Source organism: Homo sapiens, chromosome 7 (genome assembly GCF_000001405.40).
Source record: "Homo sapiens chromosome 7, GRCh38.p14 Primary Assembly".
Taxonomy (NCBI): domain Eukaryota; kingdom Metazoa; phylum Chordata; class Mammalia; order Primates; family Hominidae; genus Homo; species Homo sapiens.
The window spans coordinates 154,286,001-154,304,656 of NC_000007.14; the positions used below are offsets into that span (position 1 = coordinate 154,286,001).

General features: G+C 46.4%; 1 protein-coding gene across 10 annotated transcripts in view, besides 1 other annotated feature; it reads left to right on the plus strand.

Annotated features, from left to right (window-relative positions):
- DPP6 (dipeptidyl peptidase like 6) overlaps positions 1 to 18,656 on the plus strand; it is a 1,146,153-nt gene that overhangs the window by 537,868 nt on the left and 589,629 nt on the right. The window lies entirely within an intron of this gene.
- Positions 8,477 to 8,977: an enhancer, noted in NCBI's record as "H3K4me1 hESC enhancer chr7:153991562-153992062 (GRCh37/hg19 assembly coordinates)". NCBI's record gives its function as "activates a minimal SCP1, AML or CMV promoter by ChIP-STARR-seq in naive H9 embryonic stem cells {active_cell/tissue: H9 hESC(naive)}" and the evidence as "EXISTENCE:reporter gene assay evidence [ECO:0000049][PMID:30033119]".

Consider the following 18,656-nt stretch of genomic DNA (forward strand, 5'->3'; position numbering starts at 1 on the left):
ACTGAAATATACCTCTAAGAAAATATCGGTAATTTCTCAGTATTTTAAAAACATAGATTCTCTTGATCAGTCTACTAAATATTTCATAGTTTGTGTGTTGTTCATTAGAAAAGAAGAGATTCCATTTTCCCAAACTGTGGAACTGAGCAGCGCACTGAGATTTTAAGGAGTGGGATGTGGGTACCCTGAGAAGGGACATGGTTTTGTCCAGAGCTGAGGAAAAGAAAAATTGACCCCGAGATCCCAGCTTAGCCAACAGCCCTGGGCAATTTCATCAGCTTCCTATATCTCGGTGTAGCCACGAGCAAGATCATTTTGTGGCACTGAACTCACGGTCTGCAACTCATGTGCATTCAGGACAGACATTGAGGCTTAGGGTCAGGCTGTAGGTGGCACCAGCCATCATGGGACATTCAGACCAGAGAATGCAGCAACCAAGAGCTTGCTTAGGTAGGCAAGCAGGAGCGTTTGTCCACTCCATAGCCAGCCTTCATCTATCAGGGGACTTGAAATGTTCATTGCACATTCCCCTGTAGGCAAGAGTATTTATTGAGAAGACCTGAATTTTAATGCAAAGCTTTCCAAATGGTTGTTTGTAGCCAGTTGACCTTTGAGTCCAGACATCAGGTGGCTCCATTCCTCTCCAGGGCCATGGAGCTTCACTGTGACCTTGGGGGACTGTCCAGCCCTCTCCATAGTGTTGAGGGAGCAGCTCCAGCTCTTCTCCCCTCACTCTTCCTGGCCTCCCTGGGGCCAGTATCCCATTGTTAACACCAGCACCAGTCCCATGCCTATGATTTCTTCTTTTTTTTTTTTTTTTCTTTTGAGACAGTCTCACTCTGTCACCCAGGCTGAAGTGCAGTGGAGCTATCTTGGCTCATTGCGACCTCCACCTCCTGGGTTCAAGGAATTCTGCCTCAGCCTCCCGAGTAGCTGGAATCACAAGCATGCACTACCATGCCCGGCTAATTTTTGTATGTTTAGTAGAGACAGGGGTTCACCATGTTGGCCAGACTGGTCCTAAACTCCTGACCTCAAGTGACCCACCCACCTCGGCCTTAAACTGCTGGGATTACAGGTGTGAGCCACCGTGCCTGGCCTATGCCTGTGATTGCTTTACTTCAGAAAAGAAAGCATGCAGTGTCTGACTTCTGAGCAAAGCTGTGGCTCCCAACAGGAAGACATCTTACAAACGCAGGAGAGATGCAAGCTCACTTAGAAGGGGAAACGTGCTTAGTTAATGCCAGGGTTCACATGTGACCATGTTTAAAATGACCACAGAGGGAAGGAGAACAAAAAAGCAAACTTTGCTGACACTCAAATGTTTTCTGTTTCTAAGTGGATGACCCTGCCTTTCTAGATACAACGGGTTTCATTCTTCATGCTGGGCAGGTTGCCGGGGTTTGGACAAATCCTGCTCAGTGCAAAGCATCTCCCAAGGTAACAGTCCCTGCTGGCTGCTTTAGGTAAATGTCAGCTTGTTATGCTGCTGGACAGATCCCACGTGGGCCCTGTTCTCTGTCATTGCCATCTATTCTCCAAGAATTCTGTCTCAATGAGAAGAAAAACAGATCAACAGGGGAGCTGAGGAATAGATGGGAGCTGCGAGCTGCAGAGGGCCAGGACTCGGTGTGTTCCCCACAGCGGCCATCTGCTTGGCTTGTGGAGACGACCAGCTCGGCCACACTTCTGAGATTAGGACTCCCTGATGGGCCAGCAGAAGGGGCTCTTGTCAAATCCCACTTTCCCTGATTAAACCGGAACAGGAATGTCTGGCAGAGTAGAAAATCCAGGGAGGAGAGGTGAGGCCTGCATCCTGGAGGGAAGGTTGTCCTGAGATGTTCCTGCCATTTTTGTCCCCAAAAGCGGGATGATACTAGAGGCGATGGGGCAGGATCCATCCTGAATGTGTCCGGAGAGTTTTGGAAGATTTGACCATCACTGCAATAGTCTTTCTTCTACAGAAAATAAGTCCGGTAAAAATGGGGCAAAAGTTACTCCCACCCAGAGGAATGAGACATATGTGTCCCCCTACCGAGGGGTGCCCCAGAGAGTGGGCACCTAGAAGATCTGGTTGTTCCCCGCAGTCACATACCTCCCTGAATTGAAGTCCTTAGAGCCACAGAAAACTTCCTCTGGTTTTCTTACTAGTTACTGTTGGAGAGAGGGTCATTCCTGATTCCTCCTCCAGTGCAGCCTGGCAGGGGAGCCTGCTGAGCTCTGCTGTGTGAACTTTCTGCCCAGAGACAAGGACAGGGATGAGAGGAGGCAGCAGGTGAGCAGAAGACAAGACACTGGAAGATAAGACCTGTGCATCAGGACCGAGGGAATATATGTGGGAGAGACAGAGTCCACTGAGATGCCTCAGCTACCCAGGGTTCCCACTGTAAGGAAGCCACCAGTGTCCAGAGGACTCCAGGAAAAACTCGGATCCCACTTTCTGCTACTGACCAGCTGTGTGACCTCAGACCAGGAGTGCAATCTCTCTGCACATCTGACATCTGTGTCAATTCTTCCTTAGGAGAGGAGAGACGATTTATGCCTTACCCACTTCTTAAGGCAGTGTTGAACAATGTCATCATGTGTAAAAGCATTTTTTAAAATAAGCTGTTGTCTGCATGGAGGCCATGATTCATATAAAGCAATTTGATTTATACAATGAATCTCTCCAAGTTTTGCTCCTTGCAAGGTTCTGTGTCAATAAATGTTCAAACCCATATTTATTGAGCACCTACTATAAATAATCAGGCGCTGTTTTAAGCACTTCTGATATGCTGGTAAAAAAAAACAGATGCAAATACCTGCCTTTGTTACGCTGACATTCTAGAGGACATTTAAAGAGATCTAGTTCCATGTGGATAGAGCAAAATGAAAGGGAAAGTTATACTTTAGCACAAATGTCAATTTCAGAATGGTTTATTTTTAAAATGCCAGACTCTGCCATCCTGAGATTGACTAACTATTGTCTCACCATCTCTTTGTCCTGGTTAAGTTCAGAGAATACAATGTGCCCAGAGTGCAGCCCTGTTTGAAAAGGACGGCTTGCAGAGTTGCAGCAAAAGTCATTTCTGGGCAGACGATAATACTAAACGGAAGCTGATGAAAGAAAGAGAAAAAAATACCATGAGAGAAGGGGGATGCTGGTGAAGGTAAAATGTTAGTGGAGAGGTAGATTTCAAATAGAATCGCCTAGGTTGAAAATAAAAAGCAGTCATCAACTATGATGGAAAAATATTTCCGAGACTTGATAAGTCATCCGGACCCTGGCTGCTCACTCCCAGGGTTGCGTGGGATCCTTTGCAGGATGAGCAGAGGCTGTCAGTGTGGGATGCGTAACACAGCAGGCACAGGGTAACTGATCTAATTATGAAGAGCCCTTCCCATCTGATCCTGACTTTGACCTATGGCTTGTGAGGCCCCAGCAACATTGAATCCAGGGTGAAAGTCAGAAGGACTAGGACCCACTCAGCTAGTTCAATCCTCTCATGCCTTCAGTGGCTGGAGATATTTAGGGAGCACATCCTATATGCTAAGCCCTAAATAAGGTGTCAGGAATATAGCAGTGAACTAGGATGGCAGGTCCCTTCCCCAATGAAACCCAGTGTGGGACAAAATGTGATCCTGGAAGGTGAGGGTGATTCTGCAACTCATAAATAAACTGCGTGTGCCAGTAGCAGGCCTTGTGGTAACACCTAGGCAGGACCACCTTCTCTGCACAACTTCAGAGAGCATAACTTAATTTTTACACATTGAATTTTGATGTATTTATTTGTCATTGCCTAACATCCCAACCCCAGCGTCTGATGGGGATGGCAGTCCTGGCGTTATGCCATGGGTAGGGTACTGAGGCTAGATTCCCTGAATCCTGACCGAGTCTCATCCCATGAGCCAGGGTGATGAGGCTAATCAAACAAGGAACCAAGGAGCCCATAGGTTGAAATACAAGGTTTGGAAGAAAATGTGATGCTTGCTGGAATGACCAGATGGGCGAGGATGTTGAAAAATAAATGAGGTGTGATCATTGCAATTCATTCCCATCATTACGAAATCATTTATTATTAAGTTACACATGGACACACTGCAGTGCCAAGGAAAAGTACAAATGAAAGGTAAAAACAAGGGACAAATGTTGCTCATGTTGCCAGTACCTTGTTTTGAGTCTGGAAGAGAATTATTTATGTTGCTGCAGCCAAACGTCTCTAAAGAAAATGATCAAATTGTAATTGGTCAACATGTTCTCTCAATGATACCTTGATACATCATTTTAATTTTAAGTTTTTATTCATCTCTAATGTTTTACTTCAGGCACTTCTTATTTCTTTCTTGGACCATTCCAAAAATGTCCTAAACTGGTATCTCGGCCCCAGTCCATCTTCTACGCTCTGAAAAAATACCTTTGGTTTTATTTTTGCAGAGTCGATTTTTTCCCTTCGTGGATGGGCTCCTTGGCAATCTGAGCCTTCGCCCTGCTCCCTGCCACCCCCCTGCCTTGCACTCCAGGCATGCACATTCATGAAAATTCCTCAAAATCTTAGGGAGGCTGAGGCAGGAGAATCCCTTGGACCCGGGAGGTGGAGGTTGCAGTGAGCCGAGATTGCACCATTGAACGCACTGTAGCCTGTGTGACAAGAGCAAAACTCTGTCTCCAAAAAAAAAAAAAAAATTCCCTCTTGCTCATGACTCATTTGTATGTGATGTTCCACTTGGCAGCCATTTTCCTCTAGTCCACTGGCCCCTGGTGTTCCCGCGGGGCTTCTTACATGAGCCATTCTAGAATCGCAGGTCCCTTGCTCTTCCTCTGCACATGCCTGTGTTTATCTGGAGAGAGTCTGTTTGTTTCCCTGTTTGCCTTCTTACCAGACTTGGAGCCCTTCAAAGCCAAGGGCTGTCCCATATGGATAGACCTTCCCCAGTGTCTAAATAGGAACTGGGATATGATAGATGTTCAATAAAAATTAAACAAGAGACAAAACAAAAGTAGGGACCAATCTGGAATCCAGTAACCATCTCTCATTTCAGGAGAAGTGGAAACTCTCAGGAAGTTGAAAATACTGGGCTTCAGAACCTGACCTAGTTTGCAGCCACCGCTCCCCTCCAAAAACAATCCCATAAGAATTCCTTCTGACCCCTGAGATGAGAGGGTCACTGAGGTGGATCCTGGCCTTGGAAATCCCTGTTAGGACCTATTGGGACCTTTTACTTGCCCATCACCACCACCCTAACATTACATTAGAAACCAACTTGGGCTTGAAATGGAGGCCTCTGAGTTTGCATGAACCCCAAAATGCAGGCTCAGATTGGTTTCATTGCAAAAAGGGAAGTTGCATTCCAGTTATCTCTGAATAAAACTTGTGATGGTAAGGACACAGCCCCTACCCCTAGAAGTGAAAACTGGCAAGTCTCCAGGAACCAAGACCACTCCAAGGTCCAGTTCTTGCATCAGCGAGGCCTTGCTTCCTTCTTGCTTCTTAACAACTGGATTCCATGCTCACTCACGGCTTCTCCTCTCTCTACCTCTGGAATGTGCATTGCTGTCAGAGCTGCTTTGTAATGGCTGCGTCCTCATAGCCTAGACTCTCTCTCCTGAGCTTTGAAGCTTCAGTCTGCCCTGCTAGCCACTAACAGACTCCTGAATTTCTAAGTTCAGGTTCCTACAATGGAAAATAAGATTGACCTGACTCATTTCTTCATGTGGAATTTTTGGCTACAGATTGGCTGTTGTTTGGTCAGGCCACAAACCCCGGTCCAATTGACCATGTTTTACCATATTCTCATCTTGTCCTTAGAAGGTTGCACAGAGGTGAGTTACTGACCAGAATGAACCTAGGCATGGACATTTAGGAATTTCCTATTAAACATAAACACTTCAGAGAAGAAAAGCATATTCCATCTTAATACCTCAGAATAAAGGAGCGTATCAGCTTCATTCCTTTTCAGAGGTACAGCAGGAATCTATACACATCAGGGGGCCAGTTAATCTGAAGGATGAGGGGGACGTCTGAAAGCAGATGAGGAGAGGAAAGGAAGAAGGTAGCCCTGAACCTCTGAACTATGTTCCTGGATCTCGTCAATTTAGTCCTTACTCTCTGTCAAGTTGATCCATTGACAGATTCTCAAAACCAGGTCAATATAGAGATATGGCACTCTTACGTCTTGTGTCAGCTGTATCTGTTATCAATAGTTTTATGAATGGCACCACCGACAAAGGATAAAAACCTAACTGCGATTAGGCAAGGAAAATATATATATACCAGATTTTCTGGTCCCCCACAAGTTTCACCCTAGTGACTGTTCTCTGTCATCCCACGCAGGGTGGGCTTTGAGAACTCATCAATCCTCTTGTGAGTTTCAGTCTTGCATCTTTTCTGGGATCTGGCTCAAACGTGGCTAATTTCCCAGCATACTATGTTCAGTACAAGGGCAATCTGTCAGCATTCGTCTGAGCATGTTTGTAAAGACACATAATTCACTATGAAACCAATTCATTTCAGATGTGCTTTTTCCCATTGCACCAAAGCCCCGGGTTGATTTGGCAGTTTGGTATATTATACAAATAAATATGTCGAAAATGGGAAGTTAACAACTGTTGGAACCTGAGGTTTCTGAAGGACTTGGCTCTGGTGTCAACTTCAGAAGGTCATCTGGAGAAGCTAAGGGATCTGAACATTCTTAAAAGGAAGAGAAATGCTTTAGAATAAAAGGAATCCTGTGTCCACAGGCAGGCAGAGTCTCGTTTTTGATTTCCTAGGGAACTTAGCACAGTGGAGTTCCAATAGCTCATAGGAAATCGCGTTTCACAAAAGTTACACAAAACAATACCTTTCTGAGGAGTTTATGTTCTAATAGGAAATACCTAAAATATATTTATCCACTTTTTAAATTTTATTCTACCTTCTCTCTTTTAACACTGATTTACATAATAAGGGACAGATTAAATTAATTTCATAATAGAAATCTTGGGCTTTAAAAATTATCTTAGAAAGGTAATTGTCTTCATTTGGTGTTTTATGTTCCCTAAGTAGTTATCTTTGCTGTTTCTTGTGGGGGTTGCTGGCAATTCTGACTTCCCATTCCATATCTCATTTATTACTTCATTTAGGAAATACTCTTTTTTTAATTTGATAGGCTGAGGTCTATTTCCTAATGACTTTCACCTAGTTTTAATTTTCAGCAAAAGAAACACTTAAGATATAAGTCATAGGTAATACTTAGGCCTGTCTGATGAATGACGGAATCTAGCTTCCGCTGGTATTTCATCTTTGACTTCTAACATGTAAGAAGCCTTCACTTTAGTGGTCATCTCTCCTCCTTTTTCGTCCTTGCTCCTTTCAGAAGTGTTCATCTGTAGCGTAGGATTCAGTGATCCCCAAGTGTTTTAAGCTGCAGAGCTCTTTGTTCCGATGCTTGTAATTCACATAAAGGAGATAAAAGTGGAGCTGTGTGGGCTGAAGGATGAGAAGGGGAGAGGGGGGAAATGGAGCCCCAAGTTCTAGACAAGCCTCCCCCCATCAACTCCTTCATCCTGGCAGCCTAGGAAAGGTTACTCTAGCACAATTTGGAAACATCTGGCTGAGTCATTTTGGCCCACATTTTCTTTCTGCTGAATTCATTTGCATTCTCCCAGGGCGACATACATAAATGTTTTCTAGTTCATGTTGACATCTTTCAGTTATTCATGAACTGTGACCCTACTACCCTGTGAGGTTCTATGAGAAGCTCTGTGTGTTGCAATTCTGTCTGCATTGCTTTGCAGATGATGAGTTGCCTAAAATGAATGAACTGGTTCTGACCTATCTAAGTGTATCACATGGAGATGCTCTTGTCTCTTGATTTCAGTCTAGGTGACACTCAGGTTTTCCAAAAGTTCTCTCCCTGATACACACATTATTTCATTGTTTCCTGTGTGCTAAGCGCACACAGGATGCAAAGATGAATAAGACCTTCCCTTACGGAGCCCTCAGCCTAGCCATGACGAGAGCCAGTTATGGAGTCCCTACTAGATGTCCATTGCTTTACATAGTTTCTATCTCATTAACTTTGGTGCACATAGCCAGTAAGCGAAAGGACCCGGGATTTGCAAACAAGAAATTATTCTGACTTCAACGCTCATTCCTTTCACTGATGGGCAACCCTTTATCTTACCTGGTCCCTGCCACGGAGAAACTCACAGGCAGGGCCGGGCAGAGAAGTGGTCAGTGATGCTCTAAGGTAACAAGCACTTCCCATAAGCCTGGGGTAGGAGGTGACATTTGCACGGGGCACTAAAGGATGATTAGGAGCTCATCAGGTGGAAGGAGTTGGGAGTGGGGCTGGAGCTGGTGTCTTTGCTAATGCCTTCTAGGGGAAGATGCCAAGTGTTTTAGATTTCCATTGCTTATACTTATCTCCAGTTTTTAGTGGCCTACTTGAATGTCATTTATATTGTCATTTACACCACTCCCCAAGGCCAAATCATATCTGTGTTGCAAAGTTGGCCAACAGGGATTGTATGAACTGAGCCTTCTCTGGAGATTTTCTGCATGGGTCTGTTAGTTCATGTATTTCATGTTGAGAATAAAGTATGGGCACGTGAAGGTTTGGGGGATATTTTACATAAGACATTCTCCTATGTAGGCATGAAAATCTTTCCTGACTCCAATCCTGTTGCTAAACAGCGAGGTCTAGCCCAGAAGGCATGGAGGGGAGCAGAGTTTCTGGGAAACAAGAAGAGGACTTGGAGCCCCAGACAGGGGACAACTCCAGAGGGTTTCTTGGGGATACCTTTCCCTACAGGCCACTGAAGACAGCACGGCAGTGGAAACATCTGCATCACCCACCCTGGTGTGTGTTCCCCCGACAATCTGTGGGCTTGTTCCACAGCTGGCACCAAATTCTGGCTGAGCAGACAGCCCCAGAAATGTCACCTGGAGCCGTTAAAAAAACATAAACAAGGCATCTGTCACGCTGCCGTCGCCAAGGTCATCTGGTGGCAGGAGGTGACCGAGGAGGAGCATGGTGGTGCCGTGCCATCGAGGGCCAACCTGTGGGCAGACCTGCCTGTGCCGGCGCTCCCTTGCTCTGCAGATGCATTCAAGGATGTGAAGTTGTGCAGGGGCCAGACGTGAGAAGCAAAACAACCTGAATGAAATCCAGCCACTTTGGAGTGAAACATGAGCATTTTAAAACATGATTTTCAAACTGTCGCAGGGTTAGTATTGCATCTGGTCTCCTCTCATGATTGCCTGGAGGCCACCAGCCCAAAGCTGGAGTGAGACATGAGCTGGAGGGTAACCTGAACACCGAATTTAGGGAGTGTGTTGTTCATACAAATCACTCAGACTGAGAGTTAGAGATGGGATTTACACCCAAGCTATCCATCAAACCACTATCTGTGTGACCTTCGACAACTTATCCATTTCCTCTAAGCCCCAATTTTCATATCTGTAAATTCCCTCCTAGGATCCTTGTGAAGGTTAGATAAGATAGTATGTGTAATAATGCAGGGCTGCAGAGGGCCCTCAGTACATTTTATTTTGGCTTTCTCTGCCCTCACTTACAGGTGAGGGAACAGATTTAGAGACGGGGAGTTCATAGCATACCAGCATCAATGATCCTAGCAAGAACTGTCGTACTTTCTTCCTCCTTCCTTCACTTCCTTTTTCCTTATTTCCCTCATAATCCACTCCCCTTCCCCTCCCTACCCTCAGTGCACATGATATTATGTTTGATGGGTAGCTTTTGGTTTGTATATAATTTTGGCAAAACACATTCTTTGTAGAAATGTATTCTTTAATTTGTTAAATGGTTTGAGTTTATACATGGATGCCTTATGTGTTTTGTGCGTATTTACATTTATATTTAGATTCCTCTTTTTTCTTAAGTACTGTGTCTATGTTCCCTCCCTGTTGCTCTGTGTACACATAATCGATTGCTTATTGCTCTGTGTATGCATAAACAGTTGCTTCTTTTTTTTTTTTTTTTTTGAGACAGAGTCTCTCTCTGTCACCCAGGCTGGAGTGCAGTGGTGCTATCTCGGCTCACTGCAAGCTCTACCTCCCAGGTTCACGCCATTCTCCTGCCTCAGCCTCCCGAGCAGCTGAGACTACAGGCACCTGCCACCATGCTGGCTAATTTTTTGTATTTTTTAGTAAAGACGGGGTTTCACCATGTTAGCCAGGATGGTCTCAATCTCGTGACCTTGTGATCCGCCTGCCTCGGCCTCGCAAAGTGCTGGGATGACAGGCGTGAGCCACCGCGCCCGGCTGCCGTTGCTTCTAATTGCTGCTTAGCCTTGCATGGTTGCATCCAGTCTGTTCCACAAGGATGGACACCCAGGTTGCCTCCACACTATCCCCATAGTCCATCTTCTTGTAATTCTTAAGATAGGACCAAAAGACATTTATTTACAAGTTTCCCTCTTCTATTAGACGGTGAGACAGTGAGAGAAGATTTCCTGACTTTATATACAAAGCAGCTAGCACATAGCAGTTTCTCAGTAAACACAAAGCCATTGGCTTCCCAGGCAGCTGGACACATGGGCTCAGGCCCAGCCTCCTGTGTCCTTGGTTCCCAGGAAAAGTGACAGCCTTAACGGCAGCACTGTGATTACCGTTATCTTGTCATGAAGGTTTATGACGAGTAAGGGAAGTGCCTTTTAGGAAGAGAAAAGATGAAAAGCCTTCCCATGTGACGTATACTAGAATTCCCTGAAACCTGAAGGCCCCACATGATGCACCTGTTTATTCAAACACATACATTTGAGTACTAACTGTAAGTGATAGTGGGTATGGATTTGGTGAACTCTTTGAATGCTTTCAGCATTTCCCCAATCTGTAGGAGATTCTAGTTCCTTAGAATTGGATACTGAGCCCTGTTTGATGAAACTTGCTGTGGCATTTGGAGAGGATGCAGCTAGGGTTCACACATTTAACCATGGATGGATCTGTCAGTCAGTCTCAGTTCATGGTAGACAAGAAAGGAGATACATGCTGACAAGCCGTGTAGGAAGTGTACTGCCTTAAGCAGTGTAAACATCTTTATTCCTGAAAGGCATATCTGCTAGGTTGATTGTGAAATGTATTCTGTTTTTTTTTTTTTGTTTTGTTTTTCTATTTGGAGGGTGAGGGATAGCCTACTTTAATATCAGAAGATTTTTTTTTTATTGAATTGTGGTACTGAGTGAAATGACCTACCTTTACTTGACCTGCAACAGAGTTGCTGTAGACCAGGGGTGGGCAAATTCTTTCTGCAAGAACCAGGTAATAAGTATTTTACACTTTACGGCTACATGGCCTTTGTCAAACCTGTCACCTCTCCTGTTGTGGTACATAGGCAGCCATTAGACAGTCTATAAGTAAATGGGCTTAGCTGCATTCCAATAAAACTTTATTCACAAAATAAGAAGGGGGCCAGGTTTGGCCCATGAGCCCTGGTTTTCCTACCCTTGTTTAGATGCTCATGCACTTGCTACACCTGGAAATCAACATAAATATAGTAGGTCCAATAAGGCAAACCAGCTACTGTTTCTTGCCAGTATTCTCTGCTCTCTCTTCAGGACACTCTGAACACAATGGATAGGAGTAATATGAACAGAAAACAGAAGAAGGACTTGGACTGTATCAATTTTGGCTTGGTTGTGCACGCCAGAAAACCTAAAATAACAGTGCCCAGTACACAGCAGAAGTTTATTTCTCTTTCTTGTAAATACAGTTTGGAGACAAGCAGTCCAGGGATAGCATGGCTCCTCTTCTCACAAAAGCCTCTGCTCCTTCTATTATGTTTTCTCCCACGAAGGGTTTGGTCTCATGGTTCCAGATTGTAGCAAGCATTCCAGATAGGCAGATGGGAAAAGGCGGGAAGGAGAGGGAGAGTAAATGAAGAGCGTGCACGCTGACAGATGCTGCGACGAGCTTTTCCAGTTGCTGCCTGTCATGGTTAGTTTTAGGTGTCAGCTTGGCTAGGCCACGGTACCCAGCTTCTTCTCAAACACCAGGCGACATGTTGCTGTGGAGTTTTGTTTTGAAGATGTGATTGATAATTCAGTTAGCGGACATGGAGTAGAGCAGGTCCCCCTCTACCATGTGGGTGGGCCTCGTCCGATTAGTTGAAGGCTTTAGGAGAAAATAATGAGGTCTCCCAGGGAGGAAAGGATTCTGCCTCCAGACAGCCTTCAGGCTTGAGCCACCATCCCAACTCTTCCCCGGGTTTCCAGCCAGCTGCCCTGCCCTGCAGACTTCACATCTGCCAGCCCCCACAATCCACCATCCTTAAAAATCTGTCTCTCTCTCTCCACACACACACATACACACACTATTGGTTGTGCATCTCTGGAGACCCCTGCTGCGTGTGCAGCCTATTCATCTAGAAGGCTCCGGGGCAGTGGGGGATCTACTCCTTATCCACAGCATTCTAATATTCTGGAGACACAAGAGAAGGGACATGGAAGGGCAGGCAGACATTAAACTACCCAGAAGCGATGTGTGCCTGTGCTCTTATTGCACCTCCACATTCTTATTTTTCTTACTAATAAAGAATTTAAAATGAAGGAAGCCCCAGATCACCCGGGTGTGATTCTCTAGCCTTTTCCCACTTCTAGTTCAAGAGATGTACCCGTGTTCTTTTAACCAAAGAAAAAATCATTGCATCCTTTACTCTAGCAGTAGTGCCTGAAGCATGGGGTGAAGGTGATGAGTGCGTTAGGGCCTTTGGGAACTCTGTCCCAGCCAACCCTCACCGTCCATACCCTGCTGGGAGGGAAAGCTGTGGCCCCGGCAGCTCTCTTGGTTTATACTCCCAAGAGGAAACTCTTCCTCTCGAAGCCTGGGGGAGGGACAGACTTTGGACCAAGTTCACTCTCCCAGCTATAATTTGAAGTGTGGACAAAATGGGCCCAGATGTTCAGCCTTGCTTGTTGGGCCTGGCTCTGGTCTGCGTTCTCATCCGCGAGACCCTCGGCCTCCCTGCCCACACCAACTCGCCTTGGGTCTTCTTTGAGACATTCTTACTGAACAAGAAATAATTCCCCAGGGTTAGATTACTGGACACAGGAGAAATGTGTTCTGCAAGCTGAGGAGAATTGAATTTGGCTTCAGGGACTTCCTCCTCCCCAGGTGAGGTTTACCAGTCTGTAAGGATCTCACAGGTGATTTGGGTCCATTTTTGGTGCACTTTATTTCTCTTCCTAGACCCTTTCCTCTGTCTTCCCAGACCCTTCCCCTCAAAGGGGTGCTGGCGTTGGGTTGCCCACGGCTCCTTGCCCCGGTGAGCCCTGACCACGCAGACCCAGCAGCTTCCAGGGACCTCAGCATTTAAGTAATGGGCGTGCAAGAGAAAACCAAAACCAAACCCAAACAAGCCTCCAAATGCAGGGAGAACTCCTCAGTGGGAGCTGGAGAGTTCTAGTTGAAATGTCTGAGGTGACAGTGAGCACGCAGTGGTCGACTGTCGGAAAGCTGGTCCTCAGGCCAGAAAACTCATCCACAGTTCCATCCCAACTTGGTCTTTTTGTATGAGTTGAAGAAAAAGTGTGGGTTTTTTGTTGTTGTTGTTTCTTTCTTTCCAACTAGTTTCTTTGGATCCTGGCATGACTCCAGAAGAATCGTACCCTGCTGCCCCACATTCATTTTTATTTTTAGGGGATTGTAAGTTAGAAGAAGTGACTTCTCTTGCAGATGGCAAAGACTTACAATCCAAAATCATCACAACTCACAATTTAAAGACATTTTGATCTCTACCTTCCTGAGCAAATCAGCCGGCAGGCCTATTTCTTGTAGGGCTTTCGTCTGCACATAGTAGGTCCTGGATAAACACTTGCTGATTAAATGATATTCGAAGCAAAGCGACTGCAGCTGATTGTCTACTTAGGGCAAGGTGAGTGTAAATCAGAAGGGTGAGAAATTGCATCAGGCTGCGGAGGGATGCAGGCTTGCACGGCTACAAACAAACCTAATTAGCTGTGCCTCTGCCAGCAGCCCTACTCAGACACATCTGGAGGGGGGAGAATGGCTAAGGCTAGATTGGCTTTCCCAAGTGAAAACGCCTCTCTTCAGTTGCACCTGCACAGGACTGATTGCGCCTCAAATCCATTTGTCAGGCTGGTTGCAGGTATCTGAGAAATTGCTAATAGAATTGGGCAAAAGTGCCCGTGGGAGTGGGAGGTAAATAGCATGGCAAGACAAGCGGCTGCTGGAGTCCCGGGTTGGCAGGTGGGCCTGCCCCCATGCCCCGCCAGGCTCCAGGGGGTACCTATGCCCAGTGACTACAGAGAAGACCCGTCTTGGCTGAGCATCAGGCTCTGGTGCAGTCTTTGCTAAGTGTGTTTATCGGCCACCACGAGAGTACTTAGCTGCAAAATGGAGGTGCTTTCACTCACAGACACCAGGAGCCTTCACTAGGGAGGCACTGAGATCAGCACTTTTTCCAAGATGCTCCTTGCAAGGTACTTGTGCTCCATCAAATTGCAATTCTTCCTAGACACAAAGGGAGGCACTGGCCCAGAGTCAAGGTCATAGCAAGACCCCTTGAGCTGCCTGTTTCTTAGCAGAAGCTGGAGTAGACAGACATGACTTGAGACGTCTTAAACTTGTTTGGAGAATTTGGGACTGGATCTCCCGCCCAAGCACTTTGGAGGGGTCTGAAGAGACACAGGACGTGTGTATACGTGTGTGGGGATTTGGGGCTGTGTGTGTGTGGGGTTGGGGCAAGGGCTTGGATCAAACATCTGGATATGAATACCAACTCTGCTGTTTTCTGCTGACTGTGAACTTGGAAGAGTTTCTTATCAGTTCAAGCCTCACTTCCCTCATAAATGAAATGGGGATAGTAATCATTATTATGGGCTGTTGGGTCCCCCAAAAATCCATGTGTTGAAGTCTTAACACCCAGTGCTTCAGAATGTGATGATATTTGGAGATACGGTCTTTAAAGAGGTGAATCAAGTTAAAATGAGGTCCTATGGGTGGGCCCTAATTTAATATGGCTGATGTCCTTATAAGAAGAGAGATTAGGACACAGACACACACAGGCGATGTTATATGGTGGTTTAGGGTCTAGACTGCCAAGGTTCAAGTTCTGCTGTGACTTACTTGCTCTGAGTGACCTTGGGTTTCATATTAAATTTTCTGAATATCAATTTCCTCACCTGTAAAATGGGGGAAATAACAGTCTGCCTCATGGTGTTGCTGGAGGTGTGAGGTCAGATATTAACCATCTGGCACTTCCACCGCTGCAGGTAGCTTGGCCATTGTTATTGTTATGATTAAGGGCAGGTGAGCATGTAGTGTCTTTCTTTGCTAAGTATGTCTGATGCCAAGTCAGTATTCATTGAGCACCTCTTCTGTGCAAGGCGCTTGGAAAGGAGTGCAGTGGCTCTTTTTCCCCACTCTTGCCCCTGCTAGATTCATCCTCAAGTCTTCTCTGAGTTGCTTTTCCTGCAGCCCGTAGTTACTGAAAACCATAATACTTATAGATGCTGCTTTCTAGAAATGAGCCTGTAAAGTCTTGTATTTTCTCTTGGTCTGCACAACTTTAGGGGGGGTAACACGTCCTGTATTTGCCAGTTGTTAACCTTCTCTTTGACCACGGAGCTCTAGATGATGGCACCGATAATGCCCAGGCAGATTTAGTTTTGATCTCCAATGAAAGATAGGCCTTTCTGTATTTGCAGTAATAAGCAAACACCTTTAGCTTGAGAGGATAAACTTAAGTACAATGTTTGTTCTCTGGAGGCATACTGATTAACTTTAAAATATGAATAAAAGGCAGTCCTATTTCATTATGGTAAGAACACTTAATACAAGATCTGCCCTCTTTTTTTTTTTTTTTTTTTTTTTTTTTGTTGGAGACAGAGCTCTCACCCGGGCTGTCACCCAGCTCTGTCACCCAGGCTGGAGTGCAGTGGTGCAATCTCGGCTCACTGCAACCTCCACCTCCCAGGTTCAAGTGATCCTCCTGCCTCAGCCTCCCGAGCAGCTAGGACTACAGGAGCGTGACACCACGCCCGGCTAATTTTTTGCATTTTTAGCAGAGACGGGGTTTCACCATGTTAGCCAGGATGGTCTCGATCTCCTGACCTCGTGATCTACCCTCTTAACGGATTTTTAGTGTGCAAGTTATCTGTAGGTACAAGGTTGTACAGCAGATCTGTCAAACTTATTCATCTCACATAATTGAGACTTTATGCCTTTCAATTAGCAACTCCTCACCTCCCGCTCCCACCAGTCCCAGGCAACCACTACCCTGTTCCTTTTGCCTCCGTGAGTTTGGCTACTTTCAAAGCCTCATAGAAGTGGAACTGTGCCGCATTTGTTCTTCTGTGCCTGGCTCATTTCTCTTGGCATCTTTCCTCCAGGTTCATTCATGCTGTCACCAATGGCAGGATATCTCGCTCTTTTGTTTTTAAAAACAGCCAAAGTCAAGTATGTAAAAAGGTGGGCAGCTGAGAACCTGGTACCAGAATGTTCCAAGGAAAGGTACTGAGTGGCACAACCTGGCCTGGTTCTCCACCAGTAATTCCTAAACTTCCCCACCTGGAGGCTCCTGATGACAGATGGGTGAATGGCAGAGTAGATGAGTGAGGGAGGTGGGGAGCCCCGGTGGGGCCTGGCTGGTCAAAGTCCAAGCAATCTGATCCCAGCAGGACATTCCTTTGAAGGATCATGTATCACTTTACAAATATCCACAAGCTTTGCACTCTATCCATATTTGTTTAGGTGTAAAAAAATATTTTAAGCTCTTTACTGAGAAGGAAAATGGGATGCACCCACATGGATTCCCCAGCATGCACCGCTGAGCATTCCCTGTGGTACCGCTCCTCAGTTTAGGGTTTAGGTCAGGGGCCCTGGAATCATTGAAGGAGACCTGTCTTCCTCTCGTCTGCTGTCTTCCTCCTGGATATCACCCCTGGGTCAAGCCCATGGTCTCAGTGGGTTAGCAATGAATCCTTCCTAAGATGCGAACAGATGGGAGCTCAACATTTGACCCATCCCTGGGGTTTTAGTTTTTTTGTTTGTTTGTTTGTTTTGAGACGGAGTCTTGCCCTGTCACCCAGGCTGGAGTGCAATGGCACCATCTCAGCTCACTGCAACTTCCGCCCCTCAGGTTCAAGCGATTCTCCTGCCTTAGCCTCTCAAGTAGCTGGGATTACAGGCATGCGCCGCCACGCCCAGCTAATTGGGGTTTTAGGTTTAAGAGGAATCCCAGAAGGACAGGGTGATCTGAGGTCCTGAGCAACTCTGAGGCTGAAACTGCGCTGGTCTACTTTAAGGCAGGGGCTGTGATTTTCCCTGTGACTGAGGTCCTCCAGGGGTCAACTGCATTTCAGGTGTGTGAGGGGAGAGTGACTGCCCACCTGGCTACCCAGCCCTTCTTTCTGAGCCTGTTTACTCAGCTGCTGGGGCCTCCATGACAGGTTTGCTTGGTGACCTTACACCGCAGTGGCTCCCAGGGCCAGAGACGTGACCAAGGAGGGACCTTGCACTGAGGAACCTGTGACCGTAGGAAGACCCTCTAAGGCCGACTCTTGCTTGGCCCGGCCCAGTCCCTCCTACCAACACTGATAAGAACTTAGGTTCCTAGCATCCCAGGAGGCAGGGTCACAAAGACAAGCTGAGAACTGATACCACTGCTATACCCACCCCTGGACCTCCCTGTCCCATGCAGGAGTCTAAGCCAGTGCAACCAAGGCCAAGCACACACCCATACCACACAGCAAGGGTTTCACACGGGGTTTTCATTTCTTTACCCCTGGCCGAACCATGCAAGCTACCAGCCATCTACCCAGACTTCTTAGAGTCTGCCAAATACGTACTCAGACCAGAATTAAGTTCAGGCCATGGTAGAGGTGACCAGCCACTCTGCCGTGACCTGGATTCAGCCATCAATTCCAAAGAAGCCCACAGTGCCTTGCATTTTGCTGGCTGGTTTGTTTTTGTAAAATGATGGGGTGGGAAGCAGTGCTGGGCATTGGAAAGGGGCTGAACAAGGGGAAATCTTCAACACCTTTTAAATGGAAGCATGTCTAGTTGGCCTCTTTTCTGTAAGGAACTATACTGGGCATCACAGAGATGCAAAGACTAGAGTGACTGATTCAGGCCCTGGCCTGAAGGACTTTATTATTGAGAGTTCCCCGTATATATAAATGGCTGAACTCTCAGGCCAGTGAATGCCTGTGACCAAGTGCCAATGGGTGAAAGTAGAGGTTCCAGACCAGGAGTGGGAAATGCATCAACAGAGAGCTTGGCCACATGCTGGCCTGGAGTGCAGAGAAAGAGTGCCAGGCCTCTGGGCACTGAGTTCTGAGCTGCTTCTGGAGGGCCAGGAGATACTCCCACCTGCAAATGACTGGCTGATTGCACTTTCCTTAGAGTTTGCCACCTGCATTTCCGCTCTACCCACTAACTGACTGCTCCGGTGCAGGGAGCCAGGCAGGGGCAGTGGTACCTGGGTCAGGACACGACAGCAGCCTCTGGCCTCAGGCAGGGAGTGCTGGACAGTCCGTCTCCTGTCCTGCTTTGTCTCTTTCTCCTTGAGCTCAGGACACAGTGGGGAGCCCTCATGTTTCTGTAAGGTCATCACACAGGCTGGAATGTTTTTTTTTTCCTCTCTCTCTCTCCCTGTCTTTCTTTTAATGGACAAACACCCTTGAGGTCCTGGTTGATTTTCTTAGAGAAATGTAGATT